Genomic DNA, 22,871 nt, shown 5'->3' with positions numbered 1-22,871 from the left:
CGACTAACGGGAAATTAAACCAGACACAGTTTTAGTTTGAGTTGAGTGGGATATATCTTTGTGGCTTGTGATCACTTTCACGAGGGTCATGTGTTGTTAGACATTCTGGTGTAGGCATGGCTTCTAAGAATACCGCTTCCATTCTCTGTGCTGACCCACCCAAAGGCATTATACAAAGGAGCGGGACAATGTTCATAGCTGATTTTGTTATCATTTTATATTGTTTGATGTGTGTGTGGCAGAGGATGCTTCAAATGGTGGAAACTTCATCCCCCATCCCCCATGGGCCCTGAACTTGACCCTATCCATAAGCTTATCCCTGCCAGATGGCTTTGGATTAAATAATTTTTCATAGGGAAAAAAAAGTTGGTCTAGGAGATAATTCCACAGTAAAGAGCAGTAGAAAGGCAGGGCGCGGTGGCTCACACCTATAATCCCAACACTTTAGGAGGCCCAGGTGTGCGGATCACGAGATCAGATGGAAACCATCCTGGCTAACACGGTGAAACCCCATCTCTATTAAAAATACAAAAATTAGCTGGGCATGGTATTGTGCACCTGGAGTCCCAGCTACTCGGGAGGCTGACACAGGAGAATCACTTGAACCCGGGAGGCGCAGGTTACAGTGAGCTGAGATTGAGCCACTGCACTCCAGCCTGGCGACAGAGTGAGACTCCGTCAAAAAAAAAAAAAAAAAAAAAAAAAAGCAGTAAAAGGAGGCATTGAGCCAAAGGACTTAAAAAGTCTGAACAGGAAAGACTGGGCATTATGTCTCTGGAAAATATCTGCATGTTGGCAATTGTTTTCAAGGATAAAAGAAAAATGACAGATGGATATAGACACAGGTATAAGTATGGAAGAATATATGTTCATACATGTGTGAGTGTGTGCACATATAATACAGGAAGAAAAATTATTTAAATATTTAACATGATCTGTCCTGCCAATGTTGCACATTTCTAAACTTTGTGAGAACGTGGAAATATCTCAAGTGACACTCTCTGTCAGACGGCACTATACAATATTGTAAATTCTATTTGGACTCTTTAAGAAATAAGACATTTTTCATGGATCTAAAACAAAGAGTTAGAAAAAGAGGGAAGGAAAGAAAGAGAGAGAGAGAGAGAGAGAGGAATCCCGAGGAAACTGAGCCCATATAGGAAGTTGAAAGAGTGAATTTTAGACTTGAATTTTCTTAAACTTTAATAAACAAAAAAGAAAAATTTTATTTTAAGCATTAATTCCTTTGCTTAACTTTCTAAGTTAAGTTTCATAACTTGTGAAGTTATTATTTTAATTTTTGGACTTTAATTTCTTCCAGAAATTTTGGGATACAGTTTAGTTTGAATTTAAGAACATCTTTACATCATTTGCATTTTGGTCATTCTATAGCATTTAGTCTTACTGTAGAATCACTAATAAGATGTATACAACATGGCTGGACATAATTTGAAATGAAAAACTAGCAAACAATATGAATTTTTAATTTCAGGTTCTGATCATGATGGAATGAAATAGTCCAAAAATGCTCTCTTGCAATGTTAAACTAAATAGACATGGACAGAATGTAGAAAATAACTATTTTAAAACATTGGACAACATGCAGCAAAAAAAGTGACCCCTGAAAAAAGGAAAGAAAACAACGTGAGTCTCAGGATTGCTGTAGCTTTTGACTGGAGGAAATTACTGAATGAGGGGGAGGCAGCAGAAACCAACCAGATACCAGCAATCTTGCTGAATAAAGGAGGCCTGGGTCAGAGTTAAAGGAGGAAAAAGCAGCTAGACTGTGTTGGAGGGAGTGCCCCAAACAAGGGAGATGTGTAGAAACGGAGTTCCAGATATTTTCACATAGGTCCTCGTGAAACTTTATTTGAATATAACCTGTTCATGTATTACTAGATCATTTTGGCTGGCCTAGTTTAGTGGATCTTCAGTGTATGCTATCTGGTGTTCTGTTTAGGTATAGAATTAAAACCCACAAGGTCAAACAAGGAAAGTTCCCAAGAAAAGAAACTTTATAATCCAAAAGATTATTACAGATAGCATTATATTGTATATCATTAGGTGTCCAGCAGAGACCTTGTGGAATAAGCAGTGCCATCAGTAGTGACAATAGGGGAGCCACGTGCTTAGTGTTCTTAGGGGGGTTAATATTTTTTAGAATAAACACTATTCTAACTTCACCTGTTCACCACCACCCCAAAATACTCTTAAAAAACAACTGTCAAAATTATTAATGTAACACAAAAATAACTAAATTACCTGCCAGATAAAGCCCAATACTTTTTAACAGAATGAAATAAAACCTAGCAATAAGGAACTTAAAATTCATAAAGTATAGCATTGAGTTAAAGAATATTAGTCTATGAAAAATTATGAAAATTAGTCTATGAAAAAATATTAAAAATGTAACGCATTGGAGAAAAATTTTCCTGTAAAAACCCAATCTTAAAATGACAGAGATCATCACTAGCAGTAGATGACCAACAGTAGTTTAGACACTTATAAAGAAAAGATTAACAACATGAAGACAGTGCCAGAGAAATTATCTAAAATGAACCACGAAGAAAATGAATACTATATGATAGAGATAGAGGGATACAGATATAGATAGATACAGGTAATTTCAAAATAAAATTATATTCACTTAATAATGTGATTTTTAATGTACTTACTGATTTTTGAAAATTATATATATAATTTGTATTTTATATTATAATTTACTCAAATAAATTATAAAATAAAATGAATTATGATTAAAATAAACAGTATAATTATATATGAATTATATATTTAATTAATAGCTATAATTAAAAGTATTTACAATATAATACATATTTATATACATATATACTATATAGCAAATATATATTTATGATATTTTACATGTAATAAAATTATCTTTATACACTTAATAGTCATATACTATCTATCTATAATCAGTGGGACAACATTAAGTGATGTAGCATGCATATAATTGGAGTGTCAGGAAAGAAGAGAGAAGGGAAAAAATTGAAATAAATTAGTGGCAAAATAAGTGATAAAGAATAATCTTTAGGCATCCAGAGAAATAACATACATTTAATACAGAGAAACAAAGAAAAATGTAGAGCCAACTTCCTACTTCTTTGTCTTATATCTCATTCTGCTTCAGAATGCAGCTAGAGAACCAGACTCTATTAAATTTTCTTAAATCTGGCCAAGTTAAATGTCAAACACCAGAGGCATATTAGTAAAACAATAAAACTTCAAAAGTAGAGAATTTGATCTCCTCCCTTGTTTATTTTCATTTTTCTTATTGTGACATCAGGTACTTTAGGCTGGCATAGTTCATGGATTTTCAGTGTATATTATCTAGTTTATGTGAACTAATTGGCACATGATAACAAAAAATGGCTTAGAAATCCCAGCCAAGAATCTAGCAGAGTTCGTGTTTGTCCTCCTGCAAATACAAGTTCATCTTTAGCAACAATATATCTGTAAAATAATGATGATATTATCTGATGTAAGAAGCTACCAAGTAATTTTAAAAATGTCCAGAAAAAATTATTTGAAATAGAGATTTATATACTTCTTTCTAACAAGCTGGCTGCTATGATACAATACTGGGTGCCTTAAGCAACAGACATTGATTTATTACAATTCTGGAAGTTGGAAGTCCAGGATTAGGACGCCAGAATATGAAGTTCTGGAGAGGATTCTTTCTGGCTTGTAGATATCTGTGTTCTTGCCTCATATGGTGGAGAAAGAGAGAGTAAGCTCTGTGGTGTCTCTTCTTATAAGGGCACTAATCCCACCATAAGGGCCCCAGCCTCATAACTTCTCTAACCTTAATCACCTCCCAAAGGTTCTCTTCTAAACACCATCGTGATGAGCTTTAGGGTTTCAACACGTGAATTTTGAGGGTACACAAACATTCAGTCCATAACACTAGGGATTGTACCCACTGTCTTAATTATGTTTAGAGTTTATTGATGATTACGAGTTTTCATGGGATTTATGTATGCATATTTTATGCACACACTCATATGGGTTGAGTAAAATAAATAAATAAATTTGGAACCCAGTGATTTTTATGTCTTGTTTGAAATCAGATATTACTGTGTTCAAATCCTGGTAGAGACACATACTAACTGAGTTATGTTGTGCAAATTCCTTAATCTTGTATTCCTATATTCCTATTTGTAGATTAGGAATAAGAAAACATCACTCAGAGTTAATTAACACATGTATATATACAATTATACACATATATGCACACACATGTATGTGTTTAGTACTAGTGCAATATCTGGCACACAGTGCTCAGATATCTTTTATTGCGAATAGTAATAGCATATCATTTTAAAATAACAAACTGCATTTTTTATACTGTTCTTTTTTACTTAATACATAAGGGATTTTTCTAAGTTAATAAATACATTTACCAGTCACATTTTTATGTAGACTAAGGTAATTTCATTGTTTGGATTTACCATAAATTAACTAATCCCCTATTTTTAATTACCTTTAGGTATTTCCCAAGATTTCAAAAAATATAAATGATGTTTCACATTTCATTTCTATATCCTGATATTTCTATCTGTCTCTTTGGGATAAATAAATATTCCATGTTTTAATAGTAGAATATATAAGAAAATATTAGAAACCTACCCTATGGCAAAAGTGTGCTGACTGCTATACTTGCTTATAAAAGTACTTGTTCCTCTATTGTTAAATATCGTTTACTCTCCTTTATTCACACACTAGAATAACATAATATTATTTTTTACTTTTGAAAATTTTTACTGACAATTCAATAAAATATTTATTACCTATTTATGTTACTCCATTTACTTATTTAATAATATACTTTACCTATTATGTATTGATGTTTTTAAATTTTTTTATCCATCTTAGATTTTAATCTCTCCTACATTTTAGCTAGCAAATCTTCCCTATCATGTGTGAAAAGTATTTTTTAAATTCTATGTACTACATTTTTATTTTATGATAACCTATTAATTATCGACATTTTTAAAAGTGAGAAGATCAGTCCCAGAGAACGGCCTCTAAGACTCAGATTTAAATCTTATCATCAAGTGGTAAAGATGGAGTTTGAATATAGGTGTTCCAATTATAAAATTTTTGCTCTTAGTTTCCATAATACTCAATGGTTCTACACAACTCAATTAGTTTCTCTGAATTTCTTCATGTGAGGTAAAGATACCAATATGTCTCTTCTAGGGATTGTGAGATGTAACAAATATAAAATATAAAGCACTGAACACATGGTAAGTGCTGAACAAATGTAAGTATTCTATAGTCAACAATAATACATTAACACTCCAAAACAGCTAGAAGAGAGAATTTTAAATGTTCTTACAAAAAACGATATGTTTGAGATAACAGATATGCTAATCACTTTGATTTGATCATTCTACAATGCACATATGCATCAAAACATCACACTCTACCCCATAAATATGTACAATTATTTGAACTAAAAGCAACATAAAACATATAAAAATATGTTAAAATTAACATATATTTTTGGAAAACTCAAATTAACTCTGTAATCATAAAAAGCATACTGTTACCCAGTAAATCTTCCAATTTATATAACTTAAAATTTCAGTTAGGATGACCTCATGCTTATTTTTTCCTCCCTCAATATCTTAAGGGCCTGATCATAAATATAACAGGAATCAGAAGTGGAACTGTTTTTAAACGTCTCTGAGAGCTGTGAAAGAGAGATTCTCCATTTGGTGAAGGAAAAATCTTCCATTAGAGGCAGATAATGGCGTTCTTTATAAAGCATTTCACATTAACCAGCTCTACAAAACAAGCTCCTGTGGATGCAGTCACATTATCTGAGCCACTAAGTCTCCTGTGAAGCTGGTTTTATATACTCGGGGAAGCACCAAGCCCAAGCAGTTTTGAATACCAGTGGAAAAACAAGACTCTCAGCAGTTCCAGGAAAAATAAATTATTAAAGCCGAAAGAGATGGTGGAACAATTCATCCCCCAAATGTACAAAGGATTCTTGGGAAGGAGGAAGGCAAAATGCTTTTTTTCTTTCAACCAATGCCATTAAAAATAAAATTTACATTTTACTTTAGAAAACTGGCTTTCCAAGTTGAAGGTTGTGACATTTGGCCACACACCTTTACTTATACAAATAAACACATTAATCTCAATGGAACTATGAATTTGCTTCTTTTGTATTAGTGCCAACCTCAGAATGTGCCCTCAATGCCTGATTTTAAGGAATACAGGATGTTAAAAGTGGGTGAGATGAAGCTTGCATGTTAATGTAATTATTTGGAGTCAGTGTTAGAAAATCACTCTTCTATTTAAGGTGGTACCTGATATGAGAGTTTTACATAGTTTTTCAGAAGACTGTTTTATAAGTTTAGGTTGCCAAGAGTTTCCGTCTTTAGGAGTTTCCCTCCCTGATACTCTTTGAGGGAATAGTCACTGCTTCTATCTGATTCCTGTTATAAATTTCATGAATACTCTATTGTATGCTACCGGGCTTTCAGGAGAGAAGATGCCATTTTACTTGAGGTTAGGGACAGATCTCCGAAGAAGGGTCCGTCGTTAGTGATGCCAGTTTGTTGGGGAGATTCTTGCTTCTCACACTAGAAAGCAAAACTAAGAAATACTTCTGCATAGGAGTGACATTCTTGGTCTTGATGAGGAAGGGGACAAGATGATCAGAAGGGTAATAAAGACAGGCTTTAGGTGCTACTTATAGTTTGGGAGGCTGCACTCAAATATGTGTGCCTACCAAGGTTCATGTTTCTTTTGATGTCTCCATCCATGTGCAGAGGACAAAAAACAAATTCTGGGAAGTTCCAAAGGTTATACTTTTCAATTAGGTTGTTTATATTCCATAATAGAGACAACAAAGTGACATATTCAAGGCCACAGAGCTTAGAGAAAATAGCCAGTGAATCCATGAATCGTAGTTCCTTGGCTTAGCATTGTTCCTCATAGACCATGTTGCCTTTTCTACTATTTCTTTGGCCCCACTTGGTCAAATTTAAATTTTCCAGCTTGTTGCTTTTTTTCTCTTCTCAGCAAGAAGGAATTACATGTATAATTAGTATTCAATGAGTAATCCCTTCGTTCTCAATCTACTCCCTTGTTTTTCAGAAGTTCACAAGGAAAGCTTCTAGCATTAACAAATTGAGGTTGACATTAAAATAAAATTCGCATGTCAGGCTTTCAATGTAGGCAGAAGAACAAAGAAAGGGCAAATAGGTAGACTTAGCAAAAATCCTTGGGGGCACTGGAGCAGGTAAATGTACTTGAGAAACAGAAAACATGCGCTATCTCTGAGGGTCCCCACCGAAGTTTGGAGCTGAATAAGGGCAAATAAAACCAACATATCTTCCACTAGCGGTTCCTTTGGTGAAAAAGGGATATAGATGGTAGAAATACAGATTCATTTGTCACAGCTGAGTGAAAAATTCAATGTATAATAAAGAATGTAGGCATTGGAATTATATTGATATGTATTAGAACACTGCCCCCCTCTATATCTCAGCTTAGCCCTAATTTAGCTCCAGTCCCCTAATCAATATATTGGGGTTAAAAATAATACCATAGAGCTGGGAAGGCTATCAGCTAAACCAAACCAGAGGCCATCAAATTACAGCCCATGGCCAAATCTAGAGACTGCCTTTTCTTATTTTTGTAAATAAAGTTTTATCAAAACATAGTATGCCAACTTGTTTGCGTGTCATCTGTGGCTGTGTTTCTGCTGTAATAGCAGAGTCAGGTAGTTGTGACAGAGATCCTATGTCCTGAATTTCAAAATGTTTACCACCTGGCTCTTTACAGAAAAATGTTGCCAACTCTTGGATTGAACTATTTAAAACTTTCATTAAAAGTACCTGGCACATAAAGTGCTGCTCACTCTTGGGTAGCAATTGCTGACTTGTTCATGATCATTATTATCTCTGGATAGAGACTCTGTTTTGTATTAGCCAGCTGATGAAAGCAAATGTTATTGTGTTAATCATGACTTAAATCCTAAATCCTAAATCACAGAGAGCTTCATTAGCTTTCTGTCCTTTTTGCTAAGTCCATAAGCCACTTAGACATGTGGACCAATCATACTATTTATTACAATTTACTATGCAGTTCCTAGTTCCTATTCGTTTCCCATCCTGTGAAACAATTCCAGACCATATACTGGCATTGAGAATATGATTTCTTCCTTCAACAAAATGTTGAGATTTCAGGTCAATCTGAAAGCCCTTTTTCTCTATTTTCTACCTGTTTCTTTGGAACTTTTCTCTCCAACTGCGAGAAAATTTTCCCTCCAATCAATGAGAGCAGGAATCCCTTTAAGCACTCCCCAAATCCCCAGACACTCACTCTGGTCCTGCTCAGGCATTGCAAACAGTAGAGAAGTACCTAGAGTTCGTTTGGATCTTAGTTTTAGCCAGGGTTATCCAGAGGGAAACATGTACATTGAGAGAGAGAGAGAAGTGAGAGATGGGATTTATTAGGGGAATTGACTTACTCACTTATGATGGCAGGAAAGTCCCAGGATAGGTTGTCAGCAAACTGGAGAATCAGAGAAGCCAATCCATGTTTGAAAGCCTTAAAACCAGGAAAGCTGATGACGTAACTCAATTCAAAACCTAAGGTCTGAGAAACTGTTGGCCACTGGTGAGAATCCTGGAGTTCAAGAGCTGAAGACTCTGGAGTGTTTGAGGAACAGTTATGAGGTCATTGTGGTTGGGTTACAGTGGATAAGAGAGTAGCTCAATAAGAGATGAGAGGGAGGAGGGGCAAGCATGCACTGTCTTATAATTCACTGTTAGTTGGATTTTATTTTGAGTAAAATGGAAGTCATTACAGATTTTGCAAAAGTGTTAAGTGATCTGACTCAACTTGGCTACTATTTGCAAATAGATTGAAAGGGTCAAATGCAGAGCATGTCATTCCCCTATGGGAAAATGAAACATAAATCAAAACTCCAGCTGGCTTAAAAGACTGTCCCATATGGCCCCAAAATACCTTTCCAGCTTCATCTCTTCGCAGTCCCTCTATGGGACCTTTACTACAGCCACATCATCTTCAGACTTCCCTAAAGGATCCCGGACAAAATGCTTCTCCCTCCATGTGAATTTCCTTCTCCATCTTCTCAGAAAAAAACAACGTCTACATAGCTTTTCAAACCCAGCCCAGTGAATCTGGACTGTTCTGCCGGAAGCCCTTTTCAGCTCTCTTACATATGGTGACTTTTCTGTAGGATCTCCTGCATCACTTTGGGCATGCTTCAACTCCTAAGCTGGCTCAGTGAATTAATTATCATTTATTCAAGTGGACACTTGTGCAGCCAGACTCCGACCATATAGGCAACCAGTCCCTGGGTGGGAGTCAGTGCTCAGTGTATGTAAATGAATGAATAAATAATTAAAAAGAATTAATGATGTCAAAGTACATCCTTTTCAACCATCATGTTCCCTATCCCCATGATAGTGATGTTCTTAAACTCCAACATGGCAATGGTTACTCCAGGGTCCCATTTTTTTTCTTTCACCCACCTCCACTCCTAATGGCCTTGACTGGGGAGCCTCAGCCAATAAGCCTTTGCCAAAATGTTTTTCAAAAATATGAAGGACACAGATTCCATGTGAAAGAACTGTTTGCATTACCAATATGTAATGTGCCTTTTCTTGAAGAAATTTGAACACCTCTAATAAAGTCAATATGTTTTTTGTCACTTGAGAGTCTTTTATTTTAAATACATTTCTGAGGTGTCATATTTACTTCCCTCAAAGGAAGACAGCAACCTCCCACAAAGAGGGAAAAGAGAAAAATGAAAAAAAAAAATCAAAATGCATTAGCTAATAGCTTATATAGGTCCTCTGCCCTGGGCCATTAATTACAACCTGTGGAAATGTCCCTTTTTCCCTCTGTTTCAATCAAGTCATCTTTACTCCAAGCTACCTAATACAGTTTTTGTGTGATTTTTCTAAGTACGTGGAAATGTCCCTTTTCCCCTCTGTTTCAATCAAGTCATCTTTACTCCAAGCTACCTAATACAGTTTTTGTGTGATTTTTCTAAGTACCATGAGATCATGAGACCATAGAGGAGCAGAAGTAAAATTACATGAAGAGTGGAGGGGGAAAAAAAGACATGAAAGGTTATTTTGTTTGATAAAGGTCAGTCTAGCTGGGCCCCCACACATTGATTTTCTTAGCTGCTACAGTTAAACAAGTCTCAAAAATAAATGTATTATAGGTAATGGTATGTTTGCAGCCATCAAGTTGAGCTTTAATTCCAGAATGTAATCAATATGCCTTTGTGTTTCCATAACAGAACATGAGCAAAAAACCTGTGATTGGGGCATATGTGTTTGTATAGTTGCTGGTATTTCAGGCCAATGACTGCTTTGACAAATGATACCTTGCTTTCAATCAATAACTCATAAGCCACAATTTACTTTTTCCTTACCTTAAACTATAGCTAAAAGAGGCACACGTCATTATAATTTCCACTTAAAACATGGGTAATAGGGTAAGAGTTGATTGTGGATATGTGCATATATGTGTGCACGTCTATGGCTCAAAGGGCAAAACAACCACCAAGAGCAGTGGATTCTGCTGTTAGGAACAGTTTGAAGGCTCATATAATTGGGGAAGAAATACTGCCAGAGAAATTTGGCAATATATATTAATATTCTTCAGTACCTCATGTCCTTTGACTCAGAATCCCATTTTGTCTGAATGTGTCCAGTGGAAATAATCCACTCCCTGGGATAAGGGAAGATTATATACAAAGATGTTTATTGTGGCATTAATTATAATTGGAAAAAATAGAAGCAAGACAATTTTACAACAATAGTCATGGTGAGTGTCCCTGGTTGGGTAGTAGACAGCCATCACTAATGAAATGGGAAAATGTTAAGGGAAAAAAGTGAAAGAGAAAATTGTAAACTTGGCATTATTAAAAATATGCAGAAAAATATACATATTAAAATGTGGGGGAGAAATATGCTGAAACATGTTTATTGATGATTTTAAGGTTTGAAGAATAGGAAATTTCAAATTTTGTTCCCCATCACTATCAATTTTCTATATGTATTATGAGTAGAATTTTTCTTAAAGTAAAATTTTTTACTGAATAACTTGGTATCTTAAATTAGTGTACTGACATCAAAGGAAGACACAGAATAAAAGGATAATAAACTTACTTTCTAAACATTGAATAAGGACAATTTCCTGTGCCCCAAAATGCTATAAATAAAACTACAAGTCAAATGGCACACTGTAGGTGGGAAATGGAATAAATGTTAATTTTATTTATATTTGTTAATATTCTTAAAAGCAAATATTCTTAATGTATAAAAAGCAGTAAAACAATAGACATATCAGTGAAAGAATTAATCATAAGCTTTCCAAAACGTGAAATACATACATATATATACATATATTTACATATACATACATAAACATACATATTCAGAACATTTAAATTTTCAAATTTTAAATAAATTTTCAAGATTATTAAAAGGTAAAAAAAAATTAAATAAAAATAGCTACTATGATTTGCCTAAAATAGTAGCAACTATATTTTTAATTGCAATACTCAGGATTGAAAGAGTAGTGTATGCTAGGGTCTGATAGTCTCACTGGCCAAAGTCCTCTATCACGTGTTCTTCTGTGGTCAGGTGTTATGTCTCTTAAGGCCTAGCAGGACACCAGTGGCTGTTTTTTGAATGGTGGATAACTCTGATGCAAATGGCATGGCCTTGCCTTGGAACCCTAGAGGGATCCATTATAATTCTCTTATTGTGGTTTGTTATAAATGTTACACAACATCTTTTCTGACTACAAATGCATTTAGTCCTACTGTGTCTGCTGGGTCCTATGGCTCAAGTGGCAGAGCTGCTTGTGCTGCAGTCTGGACCTGCTGCAAGAGCCTTTTCCTGCTCTGGGGCCCATTCAGAACTGGCAGACCTCCATGTCACAGGGAAAATGGGTGTAGCAGCATTGCCAAGTGTTAGAATGATGCCTCAAGAACCCAAAGAATCTTACAGGCACTGTGTTTCTTTCCTGATAATGGGAGGTATAAGATGCAACAATTTGTTCTTTATTTTATAGTGGATGCTCCAGTCTTCCCAGCCCAGTATATCCCTAAAGTATTTACTGACATGTCAGGACCCTGAATCTTTGAGTTTATTGCCTACCATATGGAGTACATAAATGTTAGGAAGGCCTCCAACACACTTGTCATTTGTTGCTCATCCAGTTCACTTAATGTGATGTCATTGATTCAGTGGAACAATATCTTATTTTTCAGAATGTTAGTCTCTCCAGGAGCTTTCAGCTATATTATAATAAAGGTGGAGGAATTAACATTGTGGGGTAAGAGCATATCTGTGTATTCTTTTCCATCACATGAACATGTGATATAGTTCTAAGTCTCCTTCTTGTAAGAAATGGAATAAAACACACTCATTTGCCTAGTCATCTGAGGCTAATCTGCTTTAGTGATTCTGGAGAAATTATCTTACAGAGCTGGTTAAATCTAATGCATCTTGTTGAGTATATTAATAAAATAAAAGCTTGAGTATTATTAATAATTGCCAAATTGAAACAAAATGTAAAAGTAGGGAGCCTCTTTGGTGGCATGTTAATATATACCCATTTCATACAGCCAAAAGGTAGATATAGCAGAGCGTCAGGCCAAGGAATTAGTTATAAGAATAAAAGAACTCCTGACAAGATTACATTCTCAACCTCAGGAAGTCGGATAGACAAAGATCAGGAACAGAGGGATATCCAGAGTAAGGATCTCTGAGACAATGCATTTAAGAACCTTAAAATCCAATATTCTCCTGAACCCTCTGGGCTTGCAGAAGTGGTCCACTTCTTCCTATTCATGTCTGACACTTTCCATTTCTTTAAAGACAATGGAGAGGTATTTGCCTTAGAAAGCAGCGTACACCTCCCTGAGGATTTATCCCTAACTCCTCACCTGGCCATCAGACTAATAATGCGTAGATAACATGGCTTGAGAAATGATGAACCTGCTAAGTAAAGAAAGGGATTCATAGACTTTTACAGTTAAAGAAACATACATATAGGCACTGATTTTCACACTCAGAATTGTTACAACATAATTTTATATGGTGAAAGAGATACAAATCTTGTTTTTTACATTAAATTCTAAATTGCTGAGCTAATAGTATAGCTACTTCAATTTATAGGAGAAAGACACATACCACTCTTGAAAGTATCAACAGAATAATTTGAAGTTTTATGTTCTCTTTTTTAAGTTTCTTGTTATGAACTGTTATGGAATACACCCAGATTTTTATTTATGGCATTTCTATGCCATAAATAATTAGGTGTTGAATTTCTAAGGGGATTCAAGACAATGATGTTAAACTTTCAACAGACAATTGCAATTCTGGAATCCAATCATGTATTATTTTTTTCTCTAAACATAAAGAGGTTACTGTAAATCCTAAAACAATATAAAACAGGTGGGAAGGGAAATTTCATCAGTATTCATAAAGAATCATATTTATTGTACCTTAAATTATTTTTCATTTTACTGTGATTGTTTTTCCTATGAGCTGGGTGGCTCATACGTCCTTCATGTTTCTGAATAAATTCTGTCACCTAGCATAGCACTTTTAATATGAAAGAGCTTCTATTGATTTTTGTCCTTTGGGCCAGATTAGTGACTTGAAGTTCAAGGTACATTTTTTTTTTTGACATAGTCTCGCTCTGTTGCCCAGGCTAGAGTGTAGTGGTGCTATCTCTGCTCACTGCAACCTCTGCCTTTCGGGTTCAAGAATTCTCCTGCTTCAGCCTCCCGAGTAGCTTGGACTACAGGCATGCGCCACCACGCCTGGTTAATTTTTGTATTTTTAGTAGAGACGGGGTTTCATTATATTGGCCAAGCTGGTCTCGAACTCCTGACCTCAAGTGAGCCACTTGTCTTGGCCTCCCAAAGTACTAGGATTACAGGCGTGAGCCACCATGCCCAGCTTCAAGGTACATTAAAAGTCATTCAATGGGCCGGGCACGGTGGCTCACACCTGTAATCCCGGCACTTTGAGAGGCCAAGTCAGACAGATCATGAGGTCAGGGGATCGAGACCATCCTGGTTAACAGGGTGAAACTCCGTCTCTACTAAAAATACAAAAAATTAGCCGGGCGTGGTGGCGGGCTCCTTTGGTTCCAGCTATCCCGGAGGCTGAGGCAGGAGAATGGCGTGAACCCGGGAGGCGGAACTTGCAGAGAGCCGAGATTGTGCCACTGCACTCCAGCCTGGGCAGCAGAGCAAGACTCCGTCTTAAAAAAAAAAAAAAAAAAAAAAAAAGAAGTCATTCAATGTACATTGTGGAGTGCAAGCTCTGAGAGCTTCATTTATTATGCGAGATGTACTGAGGTCCTGCTATATGCCAAGCAACCTGCTGGCCACTCCACAAGCTGGGTTGATTAAAGCAAGATCTCTGCTGTCGAGGAACTCACCTCTTGTAGGTAAAATATACTTTAATCCCTTGAAATTGATGCATGCAACAACAAACATACTTTATGGAAAAGATCCTCTATGAGGACTGACTCTTGGTGAGTAATGGTAATTTTTAGCTTCCCAGATAAAATCAGTGGTCTGGTGTTACAATTAGAATTCGATTTCATCGAATCAGATTTCGTCACAATTCATTATGACATTCTTAATGCAAACAATTCCAAAAAATACTATTATATCTCAGGGTAACTTATAAAGGAAAGAGGTTTAATTGACTCACAGTTCAGCATGGCTGGGAAGGCCTGTTGAGCCCTACTATTTTTTGTTCTTATTGCCATGGATGTTTCCCGGATACAGCGCAGAGATTCAAGGCCCTGGAGGAGACTTGTAGCCTCTGTAAATTGAGGAGATAGAATCGAGAATCTGGGGAGTCTAAGATAGCTAGTTTACATTATGGAATACTGGGAGGAGAAAGTTGCACACAGAGAAAGAGAGAGCTTTGGACGATGGAACACAGTTCTGCTTGAGTTTTCAGCAGATGAGCACATGAATGTGAGCAAATGACCTGAGGCTGTGGCGGAAAAAAAGAGACCTGAAAAGACTAGAGAGCCAGGAACAGTGCCTGTTGCCACCAATGAGACAAGAGAAAGGTTGTGATTCCTGGGGCACTGTGTCTTGTTTTAAAGAAGGGCCTCTCGCCAAAGGGTCTTGCATCAATGATGGGTAATAATTAATCCGCGACTGAGAACTGTTCAGGTACTACCTAACGAATTTTAAAACAACTGCAAAGGATCAAACTGTTTCCAAGATACTATGCCGTGTACAAAAATAACACTAAAATGCATTCATACAAGCAAAAATATTCAGTGCCATAGCAAGGTACAATTTACAATGTTTGGCATCTATTAAAATATCGCCAGAAATAAAAACCGGTAGAAAAATTATGAACCATAATTAGGAAAATAAATTAAAAATTGATCTTGATATGACTCAGATGCACATAAGAAATTGGCAGATAAGCATATAGAAATATTTATTTTAAATGTATTCTGTATGTTTAAAAGATAAGTGGAGACATATTAGATATAAAAAAACTCAGATTGAACTTCTAGAGATAAAATTTACAATGTGTAATTTAAAAATACATTGGATAAAATTATTGACAGAATAAACATTGCGGATAAAAACTTAGTGAACTCAAAGACAGAGTGGTAGAAGTTCTCTAAGATGGAATTGGGAGAAAAAAGAGAAAACAAAAACAAAAACAAAATCAACTGAATACAAGTGAGCTGTGGACAAATGAAGCAACCTAAAATATATATAATTGCAGTCAAATGAGGCAACCTAAAATACATATAATTGCAGTCCTAAAGAAGAAAAAAATAAAAATATATATATTTTTAAAATTCGTGAGCCATTCTCAAGTCGATAAAAATATTAACTTAAACACCCAAGAAACTTAACCCACCCATGTGCACACACACAAACATACACACAAATCATTAAGAGCGCTAGTATATGTACACCATAATCAAATTGCCCAAAATCAATGCTAAATGAAACTCTTAAACCAATTATTGAAAATAGACAAGTCACAGACAGGAAAAAGTATAAAGGTGGTATTATATTCCTTATTCAAAACAATGCAAACTAGAAGACAGTGGTCCTATATCTTTTATTATTATTATTATTAATTTGTTGGTTGTTGCACCTACTTTAATAAGAACTTCAAAAGAGAAGCATCTATCTGGTTCTAAATGTCTTTATAAACACAAAGGCTGAAGTCCTTGGCGGGTTTCTGAGGCAGCCCTGAGCATCCCGCAGGCGACCGGCCGCACTGGGACAACACCACGCTGTTTGCTTAAAGTTAAAACAGTCCTAAGGAGAAAGAAAGAACTGGCGAGCCAGCAGGTCAAGCGTGTTGACAAAGCTTCCAGTCAGTAAGCACGCAGTTTGTACGGTTGCAGGGAGGTGCGTGATATCCGTGCGGAAATCCTCCAGGGCATGTTTAACGCCAGAAGCTCGGGCACGTTTAACGCCAGACTTGGACAGAGCCCCACATCTACGTGGGAGCTGTAGGAAGCAAGGCAGGCGTCAGCTGCCTCATGAGGATCTGACATGGTTCCTTTATAAAAGTGCCTTCTCCAAAAAGCAAACTACCCCTTTGCCTTTGAAAGATAAATACAATACAAACTTAGAATACATATAGTTGTCGACATTGTGTGCAAAGAACTGTCAAGGTGACTTTCTGTAAACCTTCTTGGGTTTGGAAAGATACTTCAAGTATTAACTGGATTAATTTTAGAAAAAGTGTGACTTTAGGTCAAACACACCTTTACAAAAGAACAGCGATTCACTCGGGAGCTGTAGACGCAGTCTGATCTTAGTGAACTAGTCTCCTGGCTGCTTTTGAATGATCTTTAAAAAAATTGATTAAGTTTTAAAATACAAAATCTGACACCAAATGTAAATATATTTGCGACCGCAGGCATTCGAGATACTGGGTACCTCCCTGTATTCAGCAGCCTACACAAGTCAAGCAAATGGTGTGGTGGTCTTGGAGGTCTCCTCCTCATGGAGACGTACATGGGACTGATGGCTTTCACTGACAAGAGGCTAAACTGGGCTATTCCATGACCAGGGACAAAATAGGCTTTTAGCCTCTAAGAAGGACAAGGAATGTGGGGGCCGGGGGTCTGTCAGTCTTCATGCAGCCCTGCTGCTGTCTGGAAGGATGGGGGTCGTTTACCTTTGGGATCTCAGTACAATTAGAACAGTAAAGTAAACTGTATATTTAATTGAATATTAGACTCTGCTGATACAAACTGGAGACAAAAGCAAAAATAATCTAGCTGCCATTGTGCTGCTGTAATTCATTTTCTGTAACTTCAGTTCTGGGGTTTTTCCTCTAGTGGATTTACTTGGCTTCTCATGGTTCTTCTCACCCCAACCACTCCAGCATGCTAAGACACTGCAGCACACGCCCGGACCTATATCTTTTAAATCCTGGTAAAAGAAAAATTCAACCTAGAATTCTATACCAGAGAAGATATCTTTACAAAATAAAAGTTAAAAGGCATTGTAGACAAACAAAAGCTGAAGAAAGTTCAACACCCGGAGACCCACGCTATATGAAATATTAAAGGAAACTCTTTATGAGGGAGAAAAAATGATACTGGATGGGAGCATGGATGCACAAAGGAATAGAGAGCAAAGACAGCATACCTACACAGTTAAATGTATTGGATACTTTTATTTTTATTTAAGTCACTTCAATGGTAATTGAGTGTTTACAAATACTGATCTGTAGAATTTCTACCACATGTAAAAATATACTGTATGACAGCAATGACACTAATATTGAGAATAATAAGTACCAAATAGAATAACATAGTATTGATGCTATCATTATTTTATGTAAAGTAGAATATCTCTTTAATGTAGAGAACAATAAGGTAAAGATGTAAAGCTTAATAAACCAGTAAAATAACAAAACAAAATGTTACAGTCTACTCAAGCCAACATAGCTACAATGTAATAATGAAAAATTTTGGATTAAAAAGAAGGAAGGAAGGACAAAGTGAACAGACAGAAAATAGGATATACTTAAAACAAATGCTATAGTATACTATCCAAATACTACAAGTTACTATATTTAAAGCTAACATGATTAATTATCACATTAAAAGTACATAGTCTTTATAACACAATTAATAAATAGGTTGTCAGGTTGGATTAAAAAGGACAGCCCAACAACATGATGCCTACAAATAAACACACTTTAAAAATAAAAGAAAAGATAAGTAAAAATAAGAATAAAAGGATGAAAAATAATATGTCTGGCTAACACTAAACAAGAAACACTAAAGAAGCTAAGTTAATATGGGAAAGAGAATTTCAGAGCAAAGAATAATGCCAGGTTAAACAAGGTCATTTCATAATAATGAGGTCCATTCAAGAAGAGAATATATTCCTAAATATTTATACCCCTAATAACAAAGCCATAATGTATATAATACTAAGTAATAGAATTAAAGGAGAAATAATTAACTCTATACTCACAGTGGGAGATTTCACACCTCTCTCTCAATAATTGGTGAAATAAATATAAAATTAATGATTATATCAATGATATGAAGAGCATGATCAACAAACTTGACTTGTAGAAAACACCTTAAATTATAAAAAATTATACCCTGCTCATTGGTTCATTGGTAGAAAGATTCAATATTCTTTTTTTTTTTTTTGAGACATAGTCTTGATGTGTCACCCAGGCTGGAGTGCAATGGTGCTATCTCGGCTCACTGCAAGCTCCACCTCCCAGGTTCACACCATTCTCCTGCCTCAGCCTCCCAAGTCCCTGGGATTACAGGTGCCCGCCACCACGCCCAGCTAATTTTTTTGTATTTTTAGTAGAGACTGGGTTTCACTGTGTTAACCAGGATGGTCTCTATCTCCTGACCTCGTGATCTGCCTCCCTCGGCCACCGAAAGTGCTGGGATTACATGCATGAGCCACCATGCCCAGCCAGAAAGATTCAATATTCTTAAGCTATCAGATCTCCCCTAATTGATCTGTGGTTTCAACACAATCATAATCAAAACCCCAACAGACTTTTTGTACAAATTGGTAAGATAATGCTAAAATATATATGGAAATGCTAAAGACCCAAAATAATCAAAACAACTGAGAAAAAAATGGCAAAGTTATAAGTCTCTATTTCAAATGTTATAAAGTTATAGCAATGGAGACAATGTGATATCATCAACATGGTATTGGTTAGTAGAACAGATTAGAGAATCTATAAATAGAATTAAATATACATGAACTACAGATTTTTGACAAAGGTGCAAAAGTAATTCAGTGGACAAAGTATAGTTTTTCAACAAATAATCCTGGAATAGTTGTATACTCATATGTAAAAATGAACTTTAGTATGTACTTATAGGCCATATACAAAAATTAAATACAGTGTATCGTGTACCTACATGAAAACCTAAGATACAAATCTTTTAGCAAAAAATCATTGTAACTTTGGTTTAGGCAAACATTGCTTAACTTAAACATCAAAAGCATTATTCCTAAACAATCAAATTGAAAAATTAGACATCATCAAAATAAAAAAACTGCTATTTAAAACACAATGTTAAAAGAATAAAAAGGCAAGTCACAGACTGAGAGAAAATATTTGTTAACCATGTCTGTTAAAGTGTTTGTATCAGAATAGATGAATGATCAAAACTCAATAAAAAATCCACTAAATAGACCATTAAAAATGGAGAATAGATTTTAGCATACTATTCTTCACTAAAAAGATACATGGTCAGCAAATCTGCACATGAAAATATGCAAGTATGATCAGTCCTTAGGAAATGCAAATTAAATACGTAATGAAATACCACTACACACATATTAGAATGACAAAAATTAAGAAGGCTAAGCATTTGTATGTAAATGCTCATAGCAACCTTATGATAGCCCTTAACTGGAAACAACCCAAATATTAATAAACAAATGAGTGGGCAAACAGTATTCCTCAGAATTAAAATGATTGGAAATCATTCAGTAATACAAAGGTGTGATTTACTGATCCATACTACAACATGGATGAATCTCAAAATAATTTGAAATAATAGAAGCCACACAAAGAAAAATATCATACCCTATGGTTCAAATTATATAATTTCAAGAAAATATGAAGCAATCTACAGTGACAGAAGGCAGAGCAGTGGCTCCCTGGGCAAGTGTGGAGGCGTGGCCAAAGGGATTAGTGAGAGGAGTGCATAGTACATAATGAAACTTTTGGGGGTGATTAATACATTTATTACCTTGATTGTGTTCAAGGTTTCCCGGATGTTTAAATATGCCAAAACATATCAAATTATACACTTCAGATATGTACAATTTCTTGTATATTAGTTTACTGGAATAACATTGTTAAAAATAAAAGGAAAATGTAGTAAAGAACCAATATCGGTTTTAGAATGGGTGAATAGAAAGGTTTCTGAAGGGTTCCTCTGGGCTCTTTCATTTATTTAATTATGTAATAATTTAAAGTACAATAAAAAACTTCAGAAGAAAATATGAATTATTGTATTAAAAATGTGAAACCTGGCTATATAAAAATGAAACTGAAAATTAACAAAACAAATGAAACTTAAAATACAACAAAATAAATTACAGATAGAGTACAGGTAATATGTTATAATAAAATATAGGTAAATAAATAAATATTCCATAAGGTAACAATTGCTTTCTAAGATTAAAAGCAAACAATGGAAAATAATGAAGATTTTAACAGAGAAGAATTAAAAACATTTGCAAGTCATAATCATCATAATCAAAACTATATGCCAAATAATGTTGGAATAATGTTGGACTACTAGGAACAATTATTCACAAAATTAATGTATTTTATATAGAAATAGCAATACAGGTAGGTTTATAAGAAATATAATGACATAAATTTTAAAATGAATAAATTAGATCAGTTTTGTTTTAGAAAATTAACAAAATGAAATGGCTAGTTAATTAACTCAAAATGTTCAGCCTTAGCACTAATAAAGGAAATAAAAAATCGAGTATTTCATTCTTTGAAAAATAGTATTCACTAATCAATTGATCAAATATTAACAATAATGATAATGATAACAAAAATATGAGAGATGGCCATTCATATAATTAGCAATGGAAATGCAAACTGATGTATCCTATCTGAAAAACAATTTGTCAATCTGCATAAAAAGTCCCAAGTTTTTTTCAAATCAATGCCAAAGTGCTAATCTCAAATTTAGATGAATATTAATGCAAGTATCTTCTTAATTTTTATAATAGCAGTTTTTTTTTTTTTGGAGATGGAGTTTTTCTCGTTGCCTAGGCTGGAGTGCAATGGTGCGATCTCAGCTCACTGCAACCTCCACCTCCCGGGTTCAAATGGTTCTCCTGCCTCAACCTCCCAAGTAGCTGGGATTACAGGAGACTGCCACCACGCCATTTTTTGAATTTTTAGTAGAGATGGGGGTCTCACCATGTTGGCCATGCTAGTCTCAAACTCTGACCTCAGGTGATCCACCGGCTTTGGCCTCCGAAAGTGCTGGAATTACAGATGTGAGCCACCGCACCCAGCTGCAAAATTTTTAAAACAATATAATGTCCAAAAATAGGTATAATATATGGCAAATATCTTAATATTTTTGAAGAATATTAAATAATATGAGAAATGCCTATGGTTATGTTCCATAGAATAAAATGAATAAATGTAAATGTATTAATTGCTTGTGGTATGAAATGTATATATTTAAGAAACAAAGGATAACATGGTAGAATAAAAGTGTTAATTAGGTATGTTGATTTGCATATTATCTATTATATAGATACATTTATTAATGTATAACAAAGGGGACTGAAAGAATGAATGACAAACTTGCATAATTCCCTAAAATGAAGGAAAGGTATTGATCATTGGGAAGAATGGGAGAGGCCATTTACAAGACGGACTTTGATATTTTACAATGTATAAGTCTGTAAAGTTTAGCTTTTTAGCAATATGAATGCATTTGCACATTACCTCCATAACATGCAAATACTTCTGTATATGCTGGACTGCCACATCAGTTTGTGTAACCTTGACCTGTTTCTTAGCTCCAAATTTATTTATAGTTCATGAAGAGACATGAGTAATCACTATACAATATATATTTTCAATACTTTACAGAGAAATTGTCATTGTGATGCACACACACACTGTGTAGACACACATACACTTGCAGAATGGTCTAGGAACAAACCCATTAGAATAAATTTATTTTGCAAGTAACCTAACATGGTACATTTTGCATATTGTTTACTATATCAGTATGTTTCCCTTTATTTACACTGTCTGGGAACTCCCTGGGCTTTTAATGTCAAAAAAAAAAAATGGTGCTGAGCACTTCACTGTTAATGGAAAGGGGTAAAATGACAAGGGAGCCTCAATAATTTTGCACTTTAGTTGGAGTCAAAGATAATGTAAAAATGCTTAAAAGCAAGTTCTCTTTGGACAATATTGAGAATATCTTGCTTGAGTTTTTGCTGTTAAGGAGACGTAGTATTACTGATAAAAATCAAAACAAAGCCATTGATGATTAATTGGTATGAAATATTTGGCATGGGAATTTTACCTAATTTAAGATTTCAATGGATATTTTGCAAAATCTTTTTATCACTATTATTAGTAAGCCTCCAATCATTCTATTGACATTTATTGAGGGTTGGCACTTGAGCTGTTGGAATTACACCTGCTCTTAGAAAATTTTATTTTTCAAAACATTTATAGCTCTGCATTGTATAAATAAGCTTCAAGTACTTAAAGAACACATAAAACCCAGATATTCTGTGA

General features: G+C 35.0%; 2 long non-coding RNA genes across 5 annotated transcripts in view; one reads left to right on the top strand and one right to left on the bottom strand.

The window, feature by feature from the left end:
* Positions 1–14,728, bottom strand: part of LOC105374490 (uncharacterized) — a 31,004-nt gene extending 16,276 nt beyond the window's left edge. Inside the window, exons 1-2 of one of the 2 annotated variants that reach the window (XR_925405.3) lie at positions 14,497–14,728; positions 8,523–8,699 (exon numbers count right to left, since the gene is read on the bottom strand). This is a non-coding gene — a long non-coding RNA (uncharacterized LOC105374490). Of the gene's footprint in view, positions 1–8,518; positions 8,700–14,496 lie in introns of both variants that reach the window. The other variant, XR_925404.3, reaches the window with a different exon arrangement.
* Positions 1–22,871, top strand: part of LOC105374492 (uncharacterized) — a 153,067-nt gene that overhangs the window by 68,196 nt on the left and 62,000 nt on the right. The gene's annotated exons all lie outside the window — the stretch shown is intronic.

This window comes from Homo sapiens, chromosome 4, assembly GCF_000001405.40.
Source record: "Homo sapiens chromosome 4, GRCh38.p14 Primary Assembly".
NCBI classification, from domain to species: domain Eukaryota; kingdom Metazoa; phylum Chordata; class Mammalia; order Primates; family Hominidae; genus Homo; species Homo sapiens.
This window is presented reverse-complemented; position numbering and strand designations above follow the sequence as displayed.